General features: G+C 38.4%; 1 protein-coding gene and 1 long non-coding RNA gene across 56 annotated transcripts in view; one reads left to right on the plus strand and one right to left on the minus strand.

The window, feature by feature from the left end:
• Positions 1-21,137, minus strand: part of DLG2 (discs large MAGUK scaffold protein 2) — a 2,173,362-nt gene that overhangs the window by 230,694 nt on the left and 1,921,531 nt on the right. The gene's annotated exons all lie outside the window — the stretch shown is intronic.
• Positions 1-21,137, plus strand: part of DLG2-AS2 (DLG2 antisense RNA 2) — an 87,698-nt gene that overhangs the window by 48,013 nt on the left and 18,548 nt on the right. Inside the window, exons 8-10 of the long non-coding RNA NR_187249.1 lie at positions 6,316-6,370; positions 7,224-7,366; positions 8,027-8,105. This is a non-coding gene — a long non-coding RNA (DLG2 antisense RNA 2). The remainder of the gene's footprint in view (positions 1-6,315; positions 6,371-7,223; positions 7,367-8,026; positions 8,106-21,137) is intronic.

The following is a 21,137-nucleotide window of genomic DNA, read 5'->3' on the forward strand; positions in this document are numbered from 1 at the left end:
CTCAATCTGTGCTCTAAGCTCCAGACTCTTATATCCAGCTGCATACCACATCTAAGCATCTCTACTTGATTGTTTAATAATAGGCTTCTGATATTTAAAATGCTCAAAACTAAACTCTTGGTTTCCTCTCCTGAATCTGCTCTACTCCCAGTATGCACCATTTAAATAAATGGCGCAATCATTGACCTAGTTGCTCTGGCCAAAAACCTGGGAGTCATTCTTGACTCTCCTTTTTATCTTACACCCCATGCCTTATTCATCATCAAATCCTGTCAACTCTGTCTTCAAAATGTACCCTCTGTCTTTTTTCCATCTCCACCCTCATCTCCCTAATCTATACCACTATCATTTCTCACATGGATTTCTGCAACCACCTCCTCACTGGTTTCTTTGTTTCCATTCTTGCCTTGCCGCCACCCTTCCTCCACACAGCAGCCAGCCATGTTTTTAAAACAAAATTCAGACACCAACACTCCTTGCTCAGCTCCCTTCAGCAGCTCCCCTTTCACTTGGAATTTGCTCCTTTCACTGCAGCCAGAATTCCATCTGCTCAAGTGTCTCCTTGGAAGAAGAGATTTCTCTGACATCCTGTATAGAACAGCATCCTCTATTCCTCCATTTATCTCTCCCTCTTATTAGACTTCTAAAAAATTTATAGTACTTATCTCTGCTTAAACATTATATACTAAATATTGTATATTAAATGTATATATGAAATATTTTATAGTTCTTTGTTCATTTCTTTACTTTTGCTCCTCTACCCAACTAGAATGTAAGCTCCATGAGGCCAGGGTCGTTGTCTTTTTTGTCCTTGGTTGAATCTCCAGCACCAGAACAGGACTTGCCACATAATATGTACACATTAAATGAATGTTATATGTAATATGTATTTATTAAATGAATGTATTTGAAGTCTTATCTTCACTACTTCTTAGTCCTATATCCTTACACAAATTTCTTACTGTCCCTACATTATAAATTTCTCAATTATAACTTGTTTTTTAAAAACAAACAACCCTCCCTTATTTTTCTTTCTGATGCTTTATAGGTACTTTCTAATATATTCAGCCTATCCTGTGTATGACTTTGATACAACAATTCCAGAGATTGGTCAATGTTGTGGGTTGAAATGTGTCACCCCAAAATTCACATGTTGAAGTCCTTGCCCCCAGTACCTCAGAATGTGACCTTATTGGGAAATAGAATTGTTGCAGATGTTATTAGTTAAGATGAGGTCACACTGGAATACGGTGGGCCACTACTTCCATCTAGTTCAATATGGCTGATGTTCTCATAAAAACAGGAAATTTGAGCACAGAGGTGCACACAGGGAGAATGTTTTGTGGAGATGGGAGTTATGGTGCCACAAACCCAAAAACTACCACAAGGCAGAGAAGAGGCCTAGACCAGGTATTTCCCTAGTGCCTTCGCAGGAAGAATGGCCAAAATAACACCTTCATTTCAGACTTCTGGTCTCCAAAATGTTGAAACAATACATTTCTCTTGTTCTAAGCCACCCAGTTTACGGTACTTTGTTACAGCAGCCTTAGGAAATGAGTATAGTCAGTGAGATATTATCCTCATTTAGTACATGAGGAAATCGCAGCTGAGAAAAGTTGAGTAACCTGCCCCAGGTTTCACAGCTAGAAATTGGCAGGGCCGGGCTTTAAATCAAAATCTGTACCGCTTCAAAGTCTATGCACAGTGGCGGTGGTTCTTAGACACTGGTCCCTGGCCCTTGTTGGTCCAGAGCAGACTGAGAAAAGGAAGTAGGATGCAGTGATTTTTCATTGAGCTAAAATGACCTTCTTTTATTATAGAATTATTGCCTTCCTGCTATTTATTTTTTCTTCCTATTGTTTTGGTATTGTTCTTTTTACTTCTGAAATGATGGTGAGAATAAACAGTAGTTGGATTTTTTTCGTAAATTTTTATTTTGTTTTTTAATGTCTTTCATTTTATTGACAAGATAAAAAGTTGGCAATTCTGTGGCCTATAGAAGTTTGTTCTGAAATGTTTCTGGTTTATGAAACATAAATGTCTGAAGACAAATGTTCCAATGCTGTCCCCTTTATGAAACAAGTCCTCAGCCTGGGCAACACTGTGAGGCCCCATCTCCACTAAAACAAACAAACAAACAAAAAATACCAGCTGGTCATGATGGCATACATCTGAAGTCCCAGCTACTCAGCAGGCTGAGGGAGGAGGATCACTTGACCCCAGGAGAGCCACACTGACACTACAGTGAGGTATGGTCACGTCACTGCACTTGTGTTGCCTGGGTGACAGAGCAAGGCCCTGTCTCAAAAGAAAAAAAAAAAAAAGGAAGCTCTTCACAAACAGTAACACACTTGGTAGAGAGAAGAAGCTGTGCTCTCAATCAACTGTAGAGGTCCCTGCTCATAAACAAAGTGTCCACGTTAATGGTCACAATCTCAATTAATTACCACGAAATTATTCTGATATAATCCCACGCAACGAATTTGTTTGAATTTAACAATATTCATTTATTCAGAAATTTCCTTAGTCTTGTCCCCTTCCTTTTTAGTATAGATTTCCTAGTTTTCAGTAAAATTCTTGAGTTGCTTTTGACTTGATCCATTTTCTTTCGGGTTCAGGATTTGTGGGCTTGTGCGAATGTCTGAGGATTAAATGAGATCACCTTTGTTAAGTATCTAGAACACCATAAAAAAGCTTTCAGTAAATGCTAGTTCCCTTCAAAGAAAGAAGTGAAGATTTATGCATCCAGAAGGGAAACGACTTTAGGACTAAGGGAGATTTACAGCAACTGGATGACTTTGCAAGATGGACCAGCCTGGAGAGTGTTAATAAACTTCACCCTCTTATTGAACATTCAGTGATCCCCATGACAGTTTATAGAAATTGTGGCAGTCTATTTTTATGAATTCGTGTTCATGAGTATGTGTGCATACATATAAACATAAGTATATATAGAAATTAATATATATTGATGTCATATACATCATTAATATAAATTTGAGTGGTATGATTGTGTGTACCTTCTTCAATTTCTGAGAAAACTCAGAAGGAGAAAGCCTTCCTACATATAAGAGTTTGCCTTCTTTGTTTATCTATTATCTGGTCCCCTATAATCTAATTTGGGGACCACCAATTTGTCCTATCCTGAGAAACCTTAGTTAAGACCACTTCAATCTATCCCTTTGCCAAAGTTATCTCAGACTTCAAATCAGTAAAGAAGAGATTCCTTCATTCTGTGAGTATATATGGAGGGCTTACGATGTCCCAGGCACTACATTATTACGTTGAATGCCAGAAGAACGATGTAATCAAGGTCATATTCTCCCTCTCCTTAGGCTCTCAGTCCAGGGAGTAATAAATTTAATAGATAATAGCTAACTACACAGCTGCATAGCATATTTTTATAAGGACTTTCATTAAGGTGCTATAGAGGTTGAGAGCAATGGCATCTAATAACTCAGTCTGGAGACTGAGGTCATGAAGGCTTCTGGAAGGAGAGGATGAGTCTTAAGCTGGGTCTTAATAGATGAGTAGGAGATATTGAGATATCCAAACAACAAGTGTTGCAATCAGAGTAAGAAGCATATGCAAAGAGATGGTGGGGGGTTAACCACGGAACTCTGGAGGAGTGAAATTTTATCCATTTAGCACTTAATAACATAAGTACATGTGATGGAAAAAAAGACTAACTTGATAGTAGGAATACCAGAGACTAATCATCTTTTTTTATGAACTTCTTCAATGCAATGAAGGCTAAAGTGGAAAATGTCATGCTTTATAGTTAGACAGTCCTGATTCATTCAAGCTGACCTTTGCAAGTTGCTTAACTTCTCTGAATTAAACCTTGGTTCCTCATCTATCAAATGAGGATAATATTATCTAGTTCATATAGCTGTTGTGTTCTTATGAAATAAAAAAAATGTAAACTATCTTGTTTCTCACACAATGTACTTACATTAAATGTCAAAACAAGACACCAGACTAAATGTCAGTTTATGTCCTGAAAACACTTGTGTCATTGTGAATAAGAACATTCATCACTCATACCAAATCTGGTTTCCCATTGGGATATATTCATCTGTTTGCTTCCTAAACCAGTGGTTTCAAAACTTTGCTTGCTGACACCATCATTTAAAATCACTTTGCATACTCACCCATTATCTTAATATTTACATAATTGATATTTACATAAATATATTTATGTAAATATTATATATTTACATAAATATATAATATATATTATATATATTTATATAATATATATTTATATTATAATATATTTATTATAATATTATATTTATTATAATATTTAATAAATATTTATGTAAATATAAATTATGTATTTTTATATACATAAAATATTATAAATTATTGTGTAACTGTATTACTGTGTCACAGTGTGGCACACTATAAAACATATAACAAAACAGAAATTTAAAGGCTGTGATGAAAAATTAATAAAAAGAGAAGGTCTTGGCTACCACTGGGGTGCGTATAATCACTTTGAAGAATACCAAGATCTCCTAGACAGAAAAGACCTAATCTCATTCATTTATGGAGCACCCAGAAGCACAGACCAAGCACTAAAGAAATATCTAGGAATTGAAGAAGCAACACTGGGACAATAGAAAAAACCCAAAAACTCTGTGGCCTACTAGTGCCACTATCTGTACAAACCAGTTTTTTAGTTTTTATTTTTAATATATATTTTAATTATAATACAAGTTTAATATAGTAGAAATGTTAAACAACCTAAATGTAATGGCTCTCCCCCCTCAAAGGTCAGTGGCAAATAGAGAGTCAATATTCATTATTTCTAAAAGAGCTAATTGTAATAATAACCACTTGCTGAACACTTATAAGGGGCAGACACTACATTAATGCCTTTACAAGTACTTATTTGCTCTTTACAATAATCTGGACACCATATTATACCTCTGTAGAGGGTATCAAACATTTCGGTCCATGCTGTGGGTGGGGGTGGGGGGGGTGTCTGCAAACCATGGCCTGCAGGCAAATCTGTCCCACTGTCCATTTTTATATAGTCTATAAGCCAAGAATGTTTTTCACATTTTCAGTTTGTGGAAAGAAAAATCAGAAAAGAATACTGTTTTGTATGAAACTTTTATATAAAAGTTACATGAAATTCAAATTTCATGACCACAAATAGTTTTACTGAATCACAGCTACATCCATTTATGTATTTATGTATTGTCTATGGCTGCTTTTGCACTACAATGGCAAAGTTGACTATTTCAATAAAGATTGTATGCCCTATAAAATATAAAATGCTTAGTATCTGGCCCTTGACAAAACAAGTTTGCTGGCCCCTTGTGTATATGACTGGAGTCTACTGGACATGTGCACGTTGCAGCTTGCATGGCTCTAAGTCATGGTTCCAATAACAATCCTATCTGGAAATGTAGGTTCAGAGAGGTTGTCACTTCTCCATGCACTTAGGAAATGGCAGAATCAGAGGTTTTTAGGATAAATTTTTAAGGCTGAAATATGCACTTGATCTCACCTAGAGTTCAGGACACTTTTCTCTTCTGGCCTCTTCTGGCTATGTAACTTAACTAGCCACACGTAATATAACTTCCCCACTGCCTCCACTGTCTTCTCTGTACTCTCCTATCTAGCTTTTAATATATTTATGGCTAAGGACAGGGTAGGGTGGGGAACAGGTCAATGGAACAAAAGTACAATTCACTCATTCACAATACTTTTCATTCTCCCTCTTCGAGTCTCTCAAATACACACTTGGCCCCTGCGTATGAGGCTCTGCTGTCTCTGGCTGAGCTGAAAGTGATGAAAAGGACGTGTGATGGAATGCTGGAAACCTCATTACTGGCTCTTTGCCTACAGAAACTCAGCCAGCTTATCTTCTTTCCCAACGAACTTCAAACTTACACTGGCTCAGCTGGTTCTAGGTGCCTGTAACAAGCTGCTCTGCCCAGTGGAGATCAGAAGCCGATAGAAGATACTCTGCATATGCTTTGCTGTCCTGGAGAATATGTTCCCTTTTTTCTCATTCTCATTGTAGCAGATTCTCCAAGGGTCTCGGCCACTCCTGGGTTGTAACGTGGATACCGAAAAGTGCAAGTTACAATAATTTTTTCCTGGACGGTATCCAGAAGACCAGACATGTGAACATAATTTCTGTGGCTGCCCAATTATAGTTAGAACTTCACTTCTAAGCAAGGACAACTACACTGGCAGGACATGGACTACGTAAAGTTGTGAGAAGAGCTTTCACATATGTTAATCTCATTGACTCCTCCCCGCAAACAGGAATTTGTTATTCCCATTTTATAGATAAAGATGCTGGGACTCAAGAGGAACTAAGCAGTGTATATTTTTCATGTATCCGGTAAGTGGTAGATCTGAGTTTCAAACCTGAAGCTTTCTGACACCTAAGTGCCTGTCATTTCAGTAAAGGAGCCTGTTATAAAGAAGTCAGTTTGTTGCCATAATAGTCATTAGAAAACAAGCAAACAAACACCCCTTCCCTGCAACAAATCATGGCATGATATGACTGGGATGCAGTACAGCATAATGGAGTTCAATGATGAGCAGGGCTTAAAATTATTGGCAAATCATTTAAACAGCCTGATTCTCTGTAAATTTATCTGTAAAATGGAAGTAATAACATGCCTAACTTTTAGGATCATGGTGAGGGTTATATAAAAGAATGTAGGTATTCTGTTTATATGAAATGCCTAGAATAGGCAAATCCATATAGATGGAAAATAGATTGATGGTGCCTAGGGCTGGAGGTAGGGGGTGGGAGGAAATGAGGAGTTGCTAATAGTTATGGGGTTTCTTTTGGAGATGATGAAAATGCTCTAAAATTGTGGTGATGGTTGCACAACTCTGTGAATATAATAAAATCCACTGAATTGTATATTTTAAACAAGTGAATAATATGGTATATGAATTTAAAAATAATGTAGGTAAAGGGCTTAGCCAATGCCTGGCACAAAACAAATGCTTTATAAATGTTAATTTTTGTCATTACTACTTTGAGGCAGAGACTATCTGGTTCACCAAACTCATTTCCTCTTCTCCTAGAGCACAAAACTAGACTCTACCCTAAAAATTAGGTGTGGCCATGTGTCTGAGTCTGGGCCAAGGGAATGTGAGTTCTGGCCAATGTAAGGGAACAAGCTTGGCCCATAAAAATAATCCCCTCACAAGCCTTCATGTTATTTCCCTTCTACTAGCTTGATGCAATGAATCTTTTGGCTTCAGAGCTACATGTTGAAGATGAAGGAGCCATAGTGTGGAAAAGCCAAAGTTCCTGAATCACTGACCAGGGGAGAGTTGCCCATTAGCCAAGAAGACCGGCTTTAGACTTTCTGAGAAAGTAAATAAGCTTCTAATTGTTTAAACCTTTTTTTGAGTTTTGATTGTAACAGCTACTGGTATTATTATAACTAACATATTATTGTTAGTTTTTACAGTACCAAATTGAGGAGAAGTGTCAGCCCTTGTCACATGCCTGAAATAAATTCACTGTAGATTGGCTGACCATGCTGGGTCTGGGGGCATGAGTGCACACAGGAAAAGTTGTCTGGTGAATTTGAGCATTATTTTAGTACTGTTGAATAGTCACTGGACAGTTTGAGTGTAGTATGCAGCTTCTAATTACCTTCCCCAACTTTGGGGAAGCAGAGTCCTTGTTTTGCCCTCCAGTCCCTTCAGGAAGGGCCAAATGAACAGCAGGCAACACGCAATCAAACCGTGCATAGCAGTAGGGTGTGGGAACGGCGAAGGCAGCTCTGTGCCTGCTGCTCCACCCTTCTCTCCTACCCTTCTTTGTGGAGGACACCGTACCCTGTCCACTTCCCTTTTGATAAAAGGGAAAGTAATACAAATTAAAGATGTGACCCAATCACATTGTTTTGTCCTTGCTTAGTGCTTTTTAAAGCAGTATCCTACACTCTAAATGTGGAAGGCAGAGACAGCTTTTAGCTCTCCGGGTGAATAATGCCAAAGTATTTGATTGCTATTGTCTCTCTTTCAGAGGGTTTGCTGTCAAAAGGAAAAGCTCTGAGTCATTCTTTAGAAAAGGTGAAGAGAGGATATGCAACCACAAGCCAAAGGTGACAGATCGGAAAGGGACCAATCACTGGGAGCAGGGTTTCTCGGGTTTGTGAGCCCCTTCCCTCATGCAATTGTGTCAAATTGGGCCAAAAATGCCTTCTGTATCTTTCTCACAGAGGAGTGCTGTAAAACCCAAAGGGCATGTAAAATGAAGTACAGTCAGATCTTATAAAAATAGCTATTGATTCCTGAGTGTTTACTGTGAAGCCCTCTTACATAGCTTGTTTAATCTTCTTGACAAGCTTAATACATAAGTATTATTGGTCCACTTGAGAGCTATTGAAACTGAGGCTCAGAGGTTAAGCAAAGCCGTGTCCCCAGGATCACACAGGTAGTAAGCAACAGAGCTGGGACTCTAACTAAATCTCTCACCACCATGCCCTTCAAGGACTTCAAACAAATGAAAAGCATTAGCAAGGTAAATGGCTCTTCTGCTGGAGAATCTAGAAAGTCCAAAGCCAAAATGTCTACCCTTGCGTGGAAAGAACATCCTACAGGGCTGCCTGTGTTCAGCATATTAAGTGCCTAAGAGAATAATGAAACAGATAAGAAAAGGGAAGAACAAAGGCCATTGTCCCCGGCCCTGGAGACTAGCCTGCCTGAACATGATTCACAGTCATTCATGGACTCAGACCTCATAGATTTTGAATATCAGATCATTGCAGATAGAAATGTGAACTTCCAGATAGCAACCATATCTTCTTGCTGAAAATAGCTTCCCTCCCCCCAGCACAAAGTCATAAAGAAAGAAAAAAGAATCTTAATTTCCTTCTGCTTCCTGTTTGCCAGACTGTTCCTTTCTTCCTTCAACCTCACGGTCCCATTGTTTCTCTTATTTCTTCCTAGTATGCTCTATTTAAACCAGATGGAGCAGTAGCATTTTGAAGCGATTTTTGAACCCAAGGGACTCGCGTCATAAATAAATAAAACAAATGAACACTTTAGCAATTGGCAAATCAGGCAGGAATGGGTTTAACAACGGAGCTGGAAATGTAGCTGAAAATCTACTCCACGATGAAAGATCGGAATGTGGCACAAGTTCTTTTCACCGAATAGGTAACCACACTGACTTCTTTCAGTAAACTGGGGGCTAAAGAGAGACGCAGTGGGAAGGCAGTGGCAAAGAGCTTCAGAGACACATTCAGTGGCCCCGTCTACTTTGCATTACCAATATGCTGATACATTATCCCATGGTTGCTACGAAATATTTGTTCACCACCTATAAAAGTAAGGCATTTTCAAGAGCTGGTTTTCTTTAAATACATTCTCTTTCCTTTAAGTCTTACATAATTCAACTATCATTCCATGTGAGGCTTAATTTAAAGAAAACCATAAGTTGAGTTAATTCACTGTGAAGGGTTATGGAAGCTATATTTATTCCAGAGAGTCAGCAGCAGTGTAATGGAGCATCTATTATATGCCTGACCTAGTGCCAGGTTCTGGGAATACAAACATGAATAGCCCAGCCCCTGCCCTTAAGACGTTCACAGAACTGGGAGGATTCACAAACTAAGTGAAAGTGAAAGGCCTGTTACCGCTATTAAGATAGAAGAAAATATATGAGGTGCTTAGCGATCACCTCTAATGAGGGAGAAATTATGTGTGGGGAGGGGAAGAGGATAGAGTTTGTGATTCAGTAAAAGAGTCCTAGCTGGGTGCAGTGGCTCACGCCTCTAATCCCAGCACTTTGGGAGGCCGAGGTGGGTGGATCACCTGACGTCAGGAGCTCGAGACCTGTCTAAGATGTTGAAACCCTGTCTCTACTAAAAATACCAAAATTAGCTAGGCATGGTGGTGGGTGCCTGTAATCCCAGCTACTTGGGAGGCTGAGGCAGGAGAATCACTTAAACCTGGGAGGTGGAGGTTGCAGTGAGCCGAGATGGTGCCACTGCACTCCAGCCTGGGTGACAGAGTGAGACTCCATCTCAAAAAAAGAAAATCCTCAAAAAAAGAAAATCCCCTGTCTGTCTACCTAGAAGGCCTAAGAAGCTGTTAACCAAGGGAGAAGAGGTTGAGATGATGGTCTGGGCAGAGAGCACAGGAGGAATTGGGACAGGCTCCACCGTGATGTGAAACAACCTGAAGGTTATGGTCACTGTAGACATTTGAACCCAGCTGGAAAACAGACTGAGGAGAGAAATGAGAGGCAGGCTTGGGAGTCACGGGGTGGATCATTCTCTGTCATGTGGGTCAGGGGACTCCATCCCATAGGCCATGGGAGCCTCTGTAAGACTTTAAACAGCAGAGTGAACATGATCTGATTTGCACTTTAGAAAATCACCTTGGCAACCAGGTGGAGGATGGACTGGAGGTGTTGAGGCTGGGAGCATAGAGAACAGTTAGGAGGCAATGGCAGCAGTCCAGGTAGGAGGGATAGGGCCTGATCTTAGATGGCAGCAGTGGGAATGTAAAGAAAAGAAGGGAGAACTAATATTAGGAAGGAGAAAATCTGGGCTGGAGGTAATGAAATCTAGATTCTAATCCTAGCTTTGGCACAATCTCTTAACGTGACCTTAGATAAGCTCTTCCTTTTCTGGACCCTGTTTCCCAACGTGGCAGGTGAGAGGGCGACATTTTGTGGCTATATGAGAATGCACTTTATATATGTACTTGGTTATTATTATTTACTCATTAGGTAAGCCAGCCAGTCAGTCAGTCAGTAAAGGCACTCATTCCTTGAGTCACAGTTTTGGGCATCTTGATATGAAAAAGCAAAATGGTAGTACAAAAAAATCCAACCAAGGGAATGAGGAGACTTGAAGTCCATAAGCATTTACTGATGATACATTAAGTACAAAATGTACATCATAATCTACTATAGATATAATGGAAACAGAAATGACCAAGATGTGTTCTCTACCTTCCGAGAGGGAAATGAGGCAGCCTATGATTAATTCAATTAAACAAATATTGAGTAAATGACTATGTGCAGAGTATTGGGTCTGTCATAGTAAGGAAACAGAGAAATAGGACATGGTCCCTAACATGAAGGACTTCGTAGTCACAAATGGAAGAAAAGTGATACTGCTATTGGAGAGTTGCAAAGCACTATGGGAGCCCAAGACAAAAGAGAATATGTACCAAGTCAAAAATCCATTTTTAATTTTCGCCATAGTAAACAGAAATATAATTTCCCTTTCTGTGGTTCAATGCTGCTAAAAGCACCTTCAGAAAAGCAGATGAAAGAAGAGATCATTCATTTTACTCTAAACAAAAATTTTTCTGTGGGTGAGGTCCTATACTAGGTGTTCAACGTAAGAATAACAAGACATGCTCTTTGCCCTCAAAGAAATGAGTCAGTGTTTGTAACATTTTGAATTCTGGGGAGGAGAAAGTAGAAGTTTGGTTCTACTTTTTCTACCTAACAATTCAAAGTGCCTTGAACAGTGCTTAGCACAAAGTAGGTGCTCAATAAATGATCAACTGAAGTGAACAATATTAAATTTGCTACTTAAAGAAAGAAAATGAAGTTGACTCTAAAATAACAAATACTTGACCTCTAATTATCCAAAGAATACATTTAGGAAAGATTACTTTTATGTAAGAAGTCATGAGTAATTAATCAAACCACAGGCCACTGGCTTGTTGTAATACTAATTCAAACAAGGTTTCTAAGCAGCAGGTCTCTACTCCCAAAGTCTTGGGAAGCAGATGGTACCTAATTGCTTTAAGGGGCATTTGGTTGACCACACTTAGTTCTTTAAGCCAGAGTAAGTTCAGTTTTTTGAACTCTCCTTAAGACAAATCAACCTCCAACCCCTTACGTATAACAAGCTGATCTGTTTCTAAACATGTAAGCTAGAAAGACCAAACTTGGGAATGGTGTTGCTTAGAAAGAAAAAGTTATGTCTTCGGGGCATGGCAGGGGGATTCTACTAGCAGCCTGGCCAAGAAAAGTTGCTGACTTGGCATATAAGGTATGTAAAAAGCTTTAATAAAATTAAAGGTGCTAACAATGCAGGTGGGATTTAAAAAGAACATGCACCACATTGTGATATTTTTTCAAGAACAGAGAGGCCCAGAATATTGAGATACCAGCTGGTAAGAATTATGACATTTACTTTAAAATCTTTGGCCAGTAAGAAGTGATTCTAAAAGACTTGCAATGGGTTTGGCTCATGGTCTCTGAACCTTGTTATAGGCCAACTTGATAAAACACAGTGATTTCACATAGGAGCTTTTGATTACAGACTGGCTTGATTGTCATCAAGTCTCTGCCATTCACTAGCTGCTACAAACTTGGATAAGTCATTGAGTCTCACTTAAGCATCAATGCCATCTGTAAATGAAGACTATGATGAATAATGTCACAGGGTTGTGATGGGGAGTACATGAGATAATAGAGGTAAACAGCTTAGTACAGTGCCTGGCATATAACAAGTATGGTGACTATTACTATTATAATTATGTTTGCTGAGAGGGAAATGTTCTTTCCAAAATTGGCTAAAAACCCTGTTTCAAACATTTCTGAGACTGAAATGAAATATATAGATGATAGGTTTGCAGAAATGGCAGTGGGTGTTTCATTTTCATATAATTATAATGTGCAGAAGAACATAGCAGCATCTTATGCCAATCATGAATCTTTTCTCATAGTAAAATTATTTTGTGAGTGAACCTGAACTGTATGTACAATGTCTTACTAAATATGTACTTCCATGTGACATTTGGTATCATGGGTTTCTTCTGAATTCTATTTGATGATAAAATATAGAGAAACCTAGCCTGGAAGGACCTCAATGTAGATATCATCTCTGTCACTTAAGGACTGTAAGCTCTGGCAAAACAAAAACTTTCTGATCCTCAGTATACACATCTGTAAAACAGGTATAATAATTGTACTATAGTTAAATGGTTTTGAAAGAATTTCATGAGATGATAATAATATCTTTACTGAGTTTTTGCCATGTGCCAAGCTCTGAAAGCCTATCCTAAATTATCTCTTCTCATCCTACGTTATCTCTTCCACATCCTATGTTATCTCTTCCACATCCTATGTTACCTTCCAGAGTGTGGTTGTAAAGTCAGGGTCTGCGGCCAAGAGTTCAGAACCCGCCAGGTGGGATCAGGTGATTAGAGAGGCAGAGGGCTGCTAAATGACAGCCAAAAATATCAGTAGCTTTTGCTGCATTCAAGAGAGAGCTGCATCTTTGACATGTGAGAAGTGGGCTGCAGGTAGACGTCCAGCAGGGGCAGAAAAAAAATAGTTCTGAATATATGCAAACATCAGAAACTTTGGGACCTGTGATCATGCCCTAGGTTTCCAAAGCTTATTACAAATAACTGCTTCCAAATATCTGTCTAGAGAAGACGTCTAAAGGGCCCCAATAAAGGCAGATAGGAGCATAAGGATAGATGTCCCCAATATATCACATGAGTTAAAAAGGATGTAAAGAAGAAAACAAAGCACATCAACCTGCTCTGCTCCAAGTTAAAGTTATTTAGCTCCTGGAACTGGTTTCATCTTTAAAATTGAGATAATAAAACTATGGCACAATTCACATTGGGCTACTCCACACTTGTAAGAAAGAATGGAGAAGCTTTCTATGTACTGATACATAAAGATCTCCAAGACACATCATTAAGTAAAAAATAATAATAATGGCTGGGCACAGTGGCTCACGCCTGTAATCGCAGCACTTTGGGAGGCTGAGGCAGGCGGATCACGAGGTCAGGAGATCGAGACCATCCTGGCTAGCACAGTGAAGCCCCGTCTCTACTAAAAATACAAAAGAAAAAAAAAAAAAAACTAGCCGGGCGTGGTGGTGGGTGCCTGCAGTCCCAGTTACTTGGGAGGCTGAGGCAGGAGAATGGAGTGAACCCAGGAGGTGGAGCCTGCAGTGAGCAGAGATCACGCCACTGCACTCCAGCTTGGGTGACAGAGCAAGACTCCGTCTAAAAAAAAACATAATAATAATTTAAAAATAATAATAATAATAATAATAATACAGAATAGTGTTTATAGAATGCTCCTTTGGTATATAAGAATGGGGCTAAAAATTTATCTATCTATCTATCTATCTATCTTTCCATGTATGTATGTATGTATGCATGTATCTGTCTGTCTTTCTATGTATGTATGTATGTATGTATGTATCTATCTTATCTATCCCCCCACCACACATGCACACACACACACACACACACACACACAAATACAGTTTGCTGCATTTGCAAAGGAAACTACAGAAAGATACACAAAAACCTAAAAATAGTGATTAGCTTTGTGAGACGAATGAGGGCAGGAGAGGAACAAAAGTTTTCAATAAATACCTTATAAAAATTAAATATTTAAATTAATTTAAATAATAAAATTAGGATAGCAATTGGTACATACCTTATAAGGTTGTTTTGAGGAGTAAATATAATAATGTATTGAAAGAGCTTACCATGGGGCTTGACACACAGTAAGCATTGACACACATCAGTGAAGATTATCCTCTCTTTTTGAGAAAGAGTGGGAAGGAGCCCTTCCTTGGCCTTAACTTTCTGCTCAAGGGCCAAAGAGAGGTGGAGACAAGTTGTAGGAGGCTGACTGCTGGGGCTTTCATTGAGACTTAAGGAGCAAAGAGGCTATGATGACCTTCTGGTATCTTCCTAGGTCATGCAGCTCTATTCCCAGAAATTTGAGAGAAAAAGCCCACTTAGAAATAAAGATGGAGCTTTTACTTAGGAACCTGAATACAGTGGATGAAAGACTACAAAATGTAGAGAATCAAAATCCAACACATACCAGATCGATCCATGACTCTGAGAATTAGAAATGATTTAAAAACAAGAATGTCTTAGAACAAAATGAGAAAAGATGAACAGTTGCCAATGAAATGTTATTTTCTTTCACTGTGTTCCTAAAAAATTTATTCAATGTCCTTAAATAATACATCTTGCGGGATTAATTGAAAATGCCACAATGGAATGAAAATAAAAAAAAACTGGCTCTGAATAAAATCCTTTATATAGTCACAAAATTGATAATCTACATTTTTTTTGCTCCATCTGCACTGAAAAGGAAAATTTAATAATCAGATACAAAGGTAGGAAATTATAATGAATCACAAGTGTTCAGATATTGTAACCCAAACAATTGCTCTAGTAGTGCCTGCTTTACTTAGGGTTATGCTAAGTGGCTGACAAAATAAAGACTAATTCTTTCAGTTTCTTTTGAATTAAAACACAGCATTTGTAACATAGAAAAGCACCATTTTGGGTACTTGTTTGGGAAATCGCACACAACAGGATGTCTAGGCTTTGTTAGATGCTTCTTTAAGTAGATTCTATAAAAGGAGCAAGCAGGCAGGAGTCCGGGAGATGGTGATGAGAAACCCCCTTTGGGTAGCTGCCATATTGTTAGTTATGGTGGTTGAAAATTCCAGCTCTGAAAGTAGAAAGATCTGAACACAAACTCTGTCACTCATTAGTTGAGTAACTTTGGCAAGTTACTCAACTTTGCTGAACTTCAATTTCCCATCAATAAAATTAGGATAAATATAATCCCTACCTTATAGGGATGTTATGAGGATCCAAAGAGATAATGTATTTAAGAATTTAAATATACCTTTCTTAGAACAGTGTCTGGAGTAGATATCAGTAAATATTAGCCCTGATCATAAACATCTATCTTTGTATTCATTCATCCATCCATTAAACCATCATTTAGGGGCCACTTCAGGTCAATCTTTGGGTTAAACAAAGGAAATTGAGGAAGAATAAGACATAGTCCTTGTACACAGAAAGCTCTCAGCCCATTAAGGGAAGATGAACAAAGAAGGCTGTATGGAATTAGGGACGCTATGAAAGAAGTCAACATCAGTTATACCGGGACATACAAAGGAAGTGGTTGATGTGGAAGGAGTATCATAGAGAAGATGATACTTAATGAAAGGCTTGAAAAGGCTTGAAATGTGTGTATATACAAGGCATTCAGGACAAAACAACAGGAAGAGCACAGACACTGGGATAACCTGTCGTGGTAGGGAAGGGAAAGAAGTCTAGTATGACTGGGTCCCAGAGAACAAGTGAGCCAGCTTGATAGGTAAGCCTGGAGAGGCCTAGGGGCCACATCACATAATGCTGAGTATACAAGGAAGTTTCTGTAATTTGGTGTTCAACAAATCAACTTACTTAATTTGAAGTTGAGAGATAGTCAGCATTGCCCTGCTAGGGAAACATCCTGAGGCTATTCCACATTATTATAGTAGAAAGATAATTTTGTGCTTTCTTTGTCAGCTGTATAAGATACCTGCTGAAAGAGTATCTTGCCTGATCTTGCCAGGGACTTACCCCCTTTGCAAACTCAGTGTTGGCTTGGGATCAGGATATCTCAGCAAATTCCCCTTAACTTTCACTTTTTTTTTCCCCTAACATATCTTCTCTTAAACAGGTAGTTCACTTCTGTACAAAAGGATTAACAGTGTCAGTACTGGTTAAAAAAGTGTTTTTTAATGGGGTGTGGTGAAATGACCAGGATATAGACACCTACAGTTTCAAACATCTTCTTCTACTTAACAATGGTATGAACTTGGACAATTTTTTACCTTTATAAATCACAATTTCCTTATCTACAAAAAGGTAGAATGTGACTTATCTCATGGGGTGTTGACAGGAGCAAATGTAGTAATTAACGCTAAGTATCTACTATCAAGACTGACACAGTTCTACAAATGGTAGCTGTCATTATTGCCCATGAAGGTGAAGTAGGTGATTTACATGGCAGGCTTGGGAGAAAGAAATGAGTCTGTTGGGGAAGAAGAAGGCCAGGTTTGTTTGAAGGCAGAGGAAGCTAGGCCACCTTGCACTGCTAAATTGTGCCATGTTCTGACTGGGGCTGGGCCCAGAGAAAGCTCTAATTCCTGTGTGTTGATTGAAACTGAGGTTGAAGACACTGATCTGTCTCTTCCTGGTGCTCATGAAAATTCTTCCTACCTAGCCTGAGCTTCATGGACAAATAAAGGCTAACCAAAGCACTTTCTTTTAAAAGTTTCAAGTTACTTAAGGTCTCTAGATTTGGAGCAGAAAGAGATGCTAATAATGAAACTTGCTAAATACAGCAATTTTTCTGCAGTCCATACAAATTTTATTAGTTAAGGAGGTGATGGGAAGAAAGCAAATATACTCTGATGGTAAGGAATTGCAGTTCTTCCGAAAAGCACTGTAAATGACAATATAATGACGCATCAATCCAGTCCCCAGGGGGGAAAATATATTATCCTCTATGGTACATCTGTGCTGTTCCAGCATTTCACAGACAAGATTGAACTCTCACATAGCCCCAGGAAAGCCACATGCTCTTGCCTTTTAACCCAGCATCTTTAACTGGTTAAAGCCTATTTCCTCTGTAGCTCACAAATATGTTTATAATAAAGGTCACCTACAATGGAATATAAAGGGAATCTCTCTGACCATATCACACAAATTCTATAATCTGGATCCTGTAAACCCACTGATGAAAAAAACAGTGACAAAGAAACAAAATGGGACTTTATTAACCTAGGTTCTTGAATTGTAATGTTTAATGCCAAGCATTAATGGAAGAGTACACATAAAAATTTCAACAAACGGCCGGGCCTGGTGGCTAATGCCTGTAATCCCAGCACTTTGGGAGGTCGAGGCAGGTGGATCACCTGAGGTCGGGAGTTAGAGACCAGCCTGACCAACATGGAGAAACCCTGTCTCTACTAAAAATACAACATTAGCCAGGTGTGGTGGTGCATGCCTGTAATCCCAGCTAATCGGGAGGCTGAGACAGGAAAATTGCTTGAACCTGGGAGGCAGAGGTTGCAGTGAGCCGAGATAGCACCACTGCACTCCAGCCTGGGCAACAAGAGTGAAACTCTGTCTCAAAAAAAATCAACAAAAACCAAAGTTTTCTTTACATTTGAAATAATTATTTTCCATGCCAATTATCTTGAAAAGCTTTGGTTTTTAGATGAGAGCTCTGAAAGATCATATAAATAACCCATAACAAGCTAACCTAATACTCATCATGACTGTTATTTACAGTAGTGAAAAATCAGAAACAACCTAAAAGTTTAATAATGGTAAATAGGCTAAGTCAACAGTGTCACTTCCCTATTATGGAATCTTAGATCTCTTTTAAAATTTACTTTTACAAAAGAAAAAAAATGTATGGACATGAAGAAGTGCCCACAAAACATTGTTAAATGAAAAAGGAAGTATCAACTACCATGACTACCATGTACAATAAAATTACAGTTTTATAGGATGCAGAAAATAAATGGCAAGGACCTACAACAAAATCAATAGTTATTTTTTATTGCCTTATTTATTTTTTATAATTTAAAAAAATCCCAATAAAATATCCTTTTAAGATATTTAACTTTCTAAGTAAAAGCTGGCAGGCTGTGGAAGTATAAAAAAGAGTGCATCTGAAAACATGAAAAACTTTGCATGAAAAATGTTTGTAACATATTTTAGATGACATTGTTAAATGCTTATGCTATAATGTAACTAAAATGAACCAGGGTAGTTAGTTGTACATATAATATAACCTCCCTTATGTATTTCATAAACAGAAATGATACTAAAATGAGACAAAAACAGAAACCAGTGGTTGCCTCTGGATAGTAGAAATTATTGCTTAGTTCTTCAATTGTTTTTTTAAACATGCTTCTGTATTTTGCAGTTTCAACAATAAACATGTAATACCATTATAATTGAAAAATAGTTTCTGGTTTTTTCTTTTTTTAAAAAAAATGTATAATTTGACCGACTGAGGTGGCTCATACCTGTAATCTTAGCATTTTGGGAGGCTGAGGCAGGTGGATCACCTGAGGTCAGGAGTTCGAGACCAGCCTGGCCAACGTGGTGAAACCCCGTCTCTACTAAAAAAAAAAAAAAAAAAAAATATTAGCTGGGCGTGGTGGCACAGGCCTGTAATTCTAGCTACTTGGGAGGCTGAGGCAGGAGAATCACTTGAACCTGGAAGGCGGAGGTGGCAGTGAGCCGAGATCACGCCACTGCACTCCAGCCTGGGCGACAGAGCGAGACTCCATCTCAAAAATAAAATAAAGATATAATTCAGCAGGAAAAAAACTGAGTATAACCTTAAAGTCACTGAAATATTAAGTTATTCAGACTAAACTTCCGGATATTACACTTACTACCTGGGTGACAGAATCATTTGTATCCCAAATCTCAGCATAATGCAATACACCCATGTAACAAACTTGCACAAATATACCTCCTGAATCTAAAATAAATGTTGAAATTATAAAAATAAATAAATGCGTTAATTAATTTAATTAAAAAATAAAGCATAGACATGAACAGGAATGTGATATACCTAACTTGTACTTGCCCTTTGTACTTTCTGAATGCAGGTGGGAATTAGCTGCAGCTCTGTTTCCTCTGCATATTTTCACTTATTAAAAGAGTTCTAAACTTCTTTTCTCCAGGCTAAATCTTCAATGTAAAAAAATTATTTTGGAATTAATACATGTGATTGCCTAAAAATCAACTTATTTGTTATTATCAAGTAAACTTTTATTCTCTGGAATCCTCAGAGAAAAGAAGTATCTTTCTGAATATCTGAATTTTCCATATAGCTGAAGATTAAGACTTCAAATGGAGAGAGTTAAATTGATTACTTTTGCGATTACTTTACTTTTCAAAACATCATTATTAAATACTTGCCTCACCTCCAGAATAATATACTAGATATAATAGGTTTTTAAACTGATGACTCAAAACTATCATTATGAAGATCTGTTATTGTGATAATAAAACATCAAGTAGTTCTTAATAAATAAACTTCTAACCCTTTAAATTCAAATCTACTTTACTTTCCATGTTGCTAACATTTAAAAAGAACAACAAAATAAATCTAAGAATATAATCCTATATCAATTAAATAAAGTAGAAACGTTTACAGTTTCTACTTAATTCCATTATTTTATTTTTTAAAATATGCCATAAAAGATTTACAGATTCTCTAGCAATGAATTCTCTTCGTGAAAAAACCACATAGACTCAAAAGCATATGAAGGCTTATTTTGCATGGCTCTTGGAAAAGTAGAACTATGCTTGGAAGGCAAAAGACAATAGATTTGCAGTCATCGCGCACACCAACAAAAGTTTCAACTTCACAATTAAACATTTTAAAACTAGGCCGGGCGTGGTGGCTCACGCCTGTAATCCCAGCACTTTGGGAGGCCAAGGCTGGTGGATCATGAAGTCAGGAGATTGAGACCATCCTGGCCAACATGGTGAAACCCCGTCTCTACTAAAAATACAAAAAATTAGCTGGGCATGGTGGCGGGTGCCTGTAGTCCCAGCTACTCGGGAGGTTGAGGCAGGAGAATCGCTTGAACCCGGGAGGCAGAGGTTGCAGTGAGCTGAGATCGCGCCACTGCACTCCAGCCTGGGTGACAGAGCAAGACTCCATCTAAAAAAAAAAAAAAACATTTTAAAACCAACAAAATTTTTACTTAAAAATTTATTTGACAATGTTTATTAAGCTCCTATTCTATATCAGGTGTTGTGCTAGGTGCCGGGGACATGTGTCTAGTGCCTAGACATGGTACTGGAGACAGCATATTCCTTTCATAGGACATGTTAAGGCAGCGGCTGAATGACCACTTGGCAAAGATATTATAGGGGGAATCCAAATACATAATATCCCCCAACTCCTATGATTCTCACCCTCTCCAACTGCACTTCCATAATCCCCAGGAAAGCAGAGCTTGAATCAAAGGTTTGCAGTAATATATGCAGAGGCTCACATGTGATAGTTCATTTTGAGCAGTGATCCTGAGAAGAGGAAAGAGGAAGCAGGGAAACCTTCTGAGGAGCATACACAATGCAATTCAGAACTATCTATCCAAGGGATGGAGGAGAGCTCTACCCACCAGTTCCCTTCCTCTCCAATTGTCGAGAGTTGCCACATGCGATGCCAACTCCCTTGCACGTCCAGTTTTGTGCATGCCAGAGTGGCGAGTGGGCTCTCGGGTAGAAAGCAGAGAGAGGCGTGGCAGCTAAGGCAAGGTGGTGTCAGTTACACCTGGATGAAGCTG

This window comes from Homo sapiens, chromosome 11 (assembly GCF_000001405.40).
Source record: "Homo sapiens chromosome 11, GRCh38.p14 Primary Assembly".
NCBI classification, from domain to species: domain Eukaryota; kingdom Metazoa; phylum Chordata; class Mammalia; order Primates; family Hominidae; genus Homo; species Homo sapiens.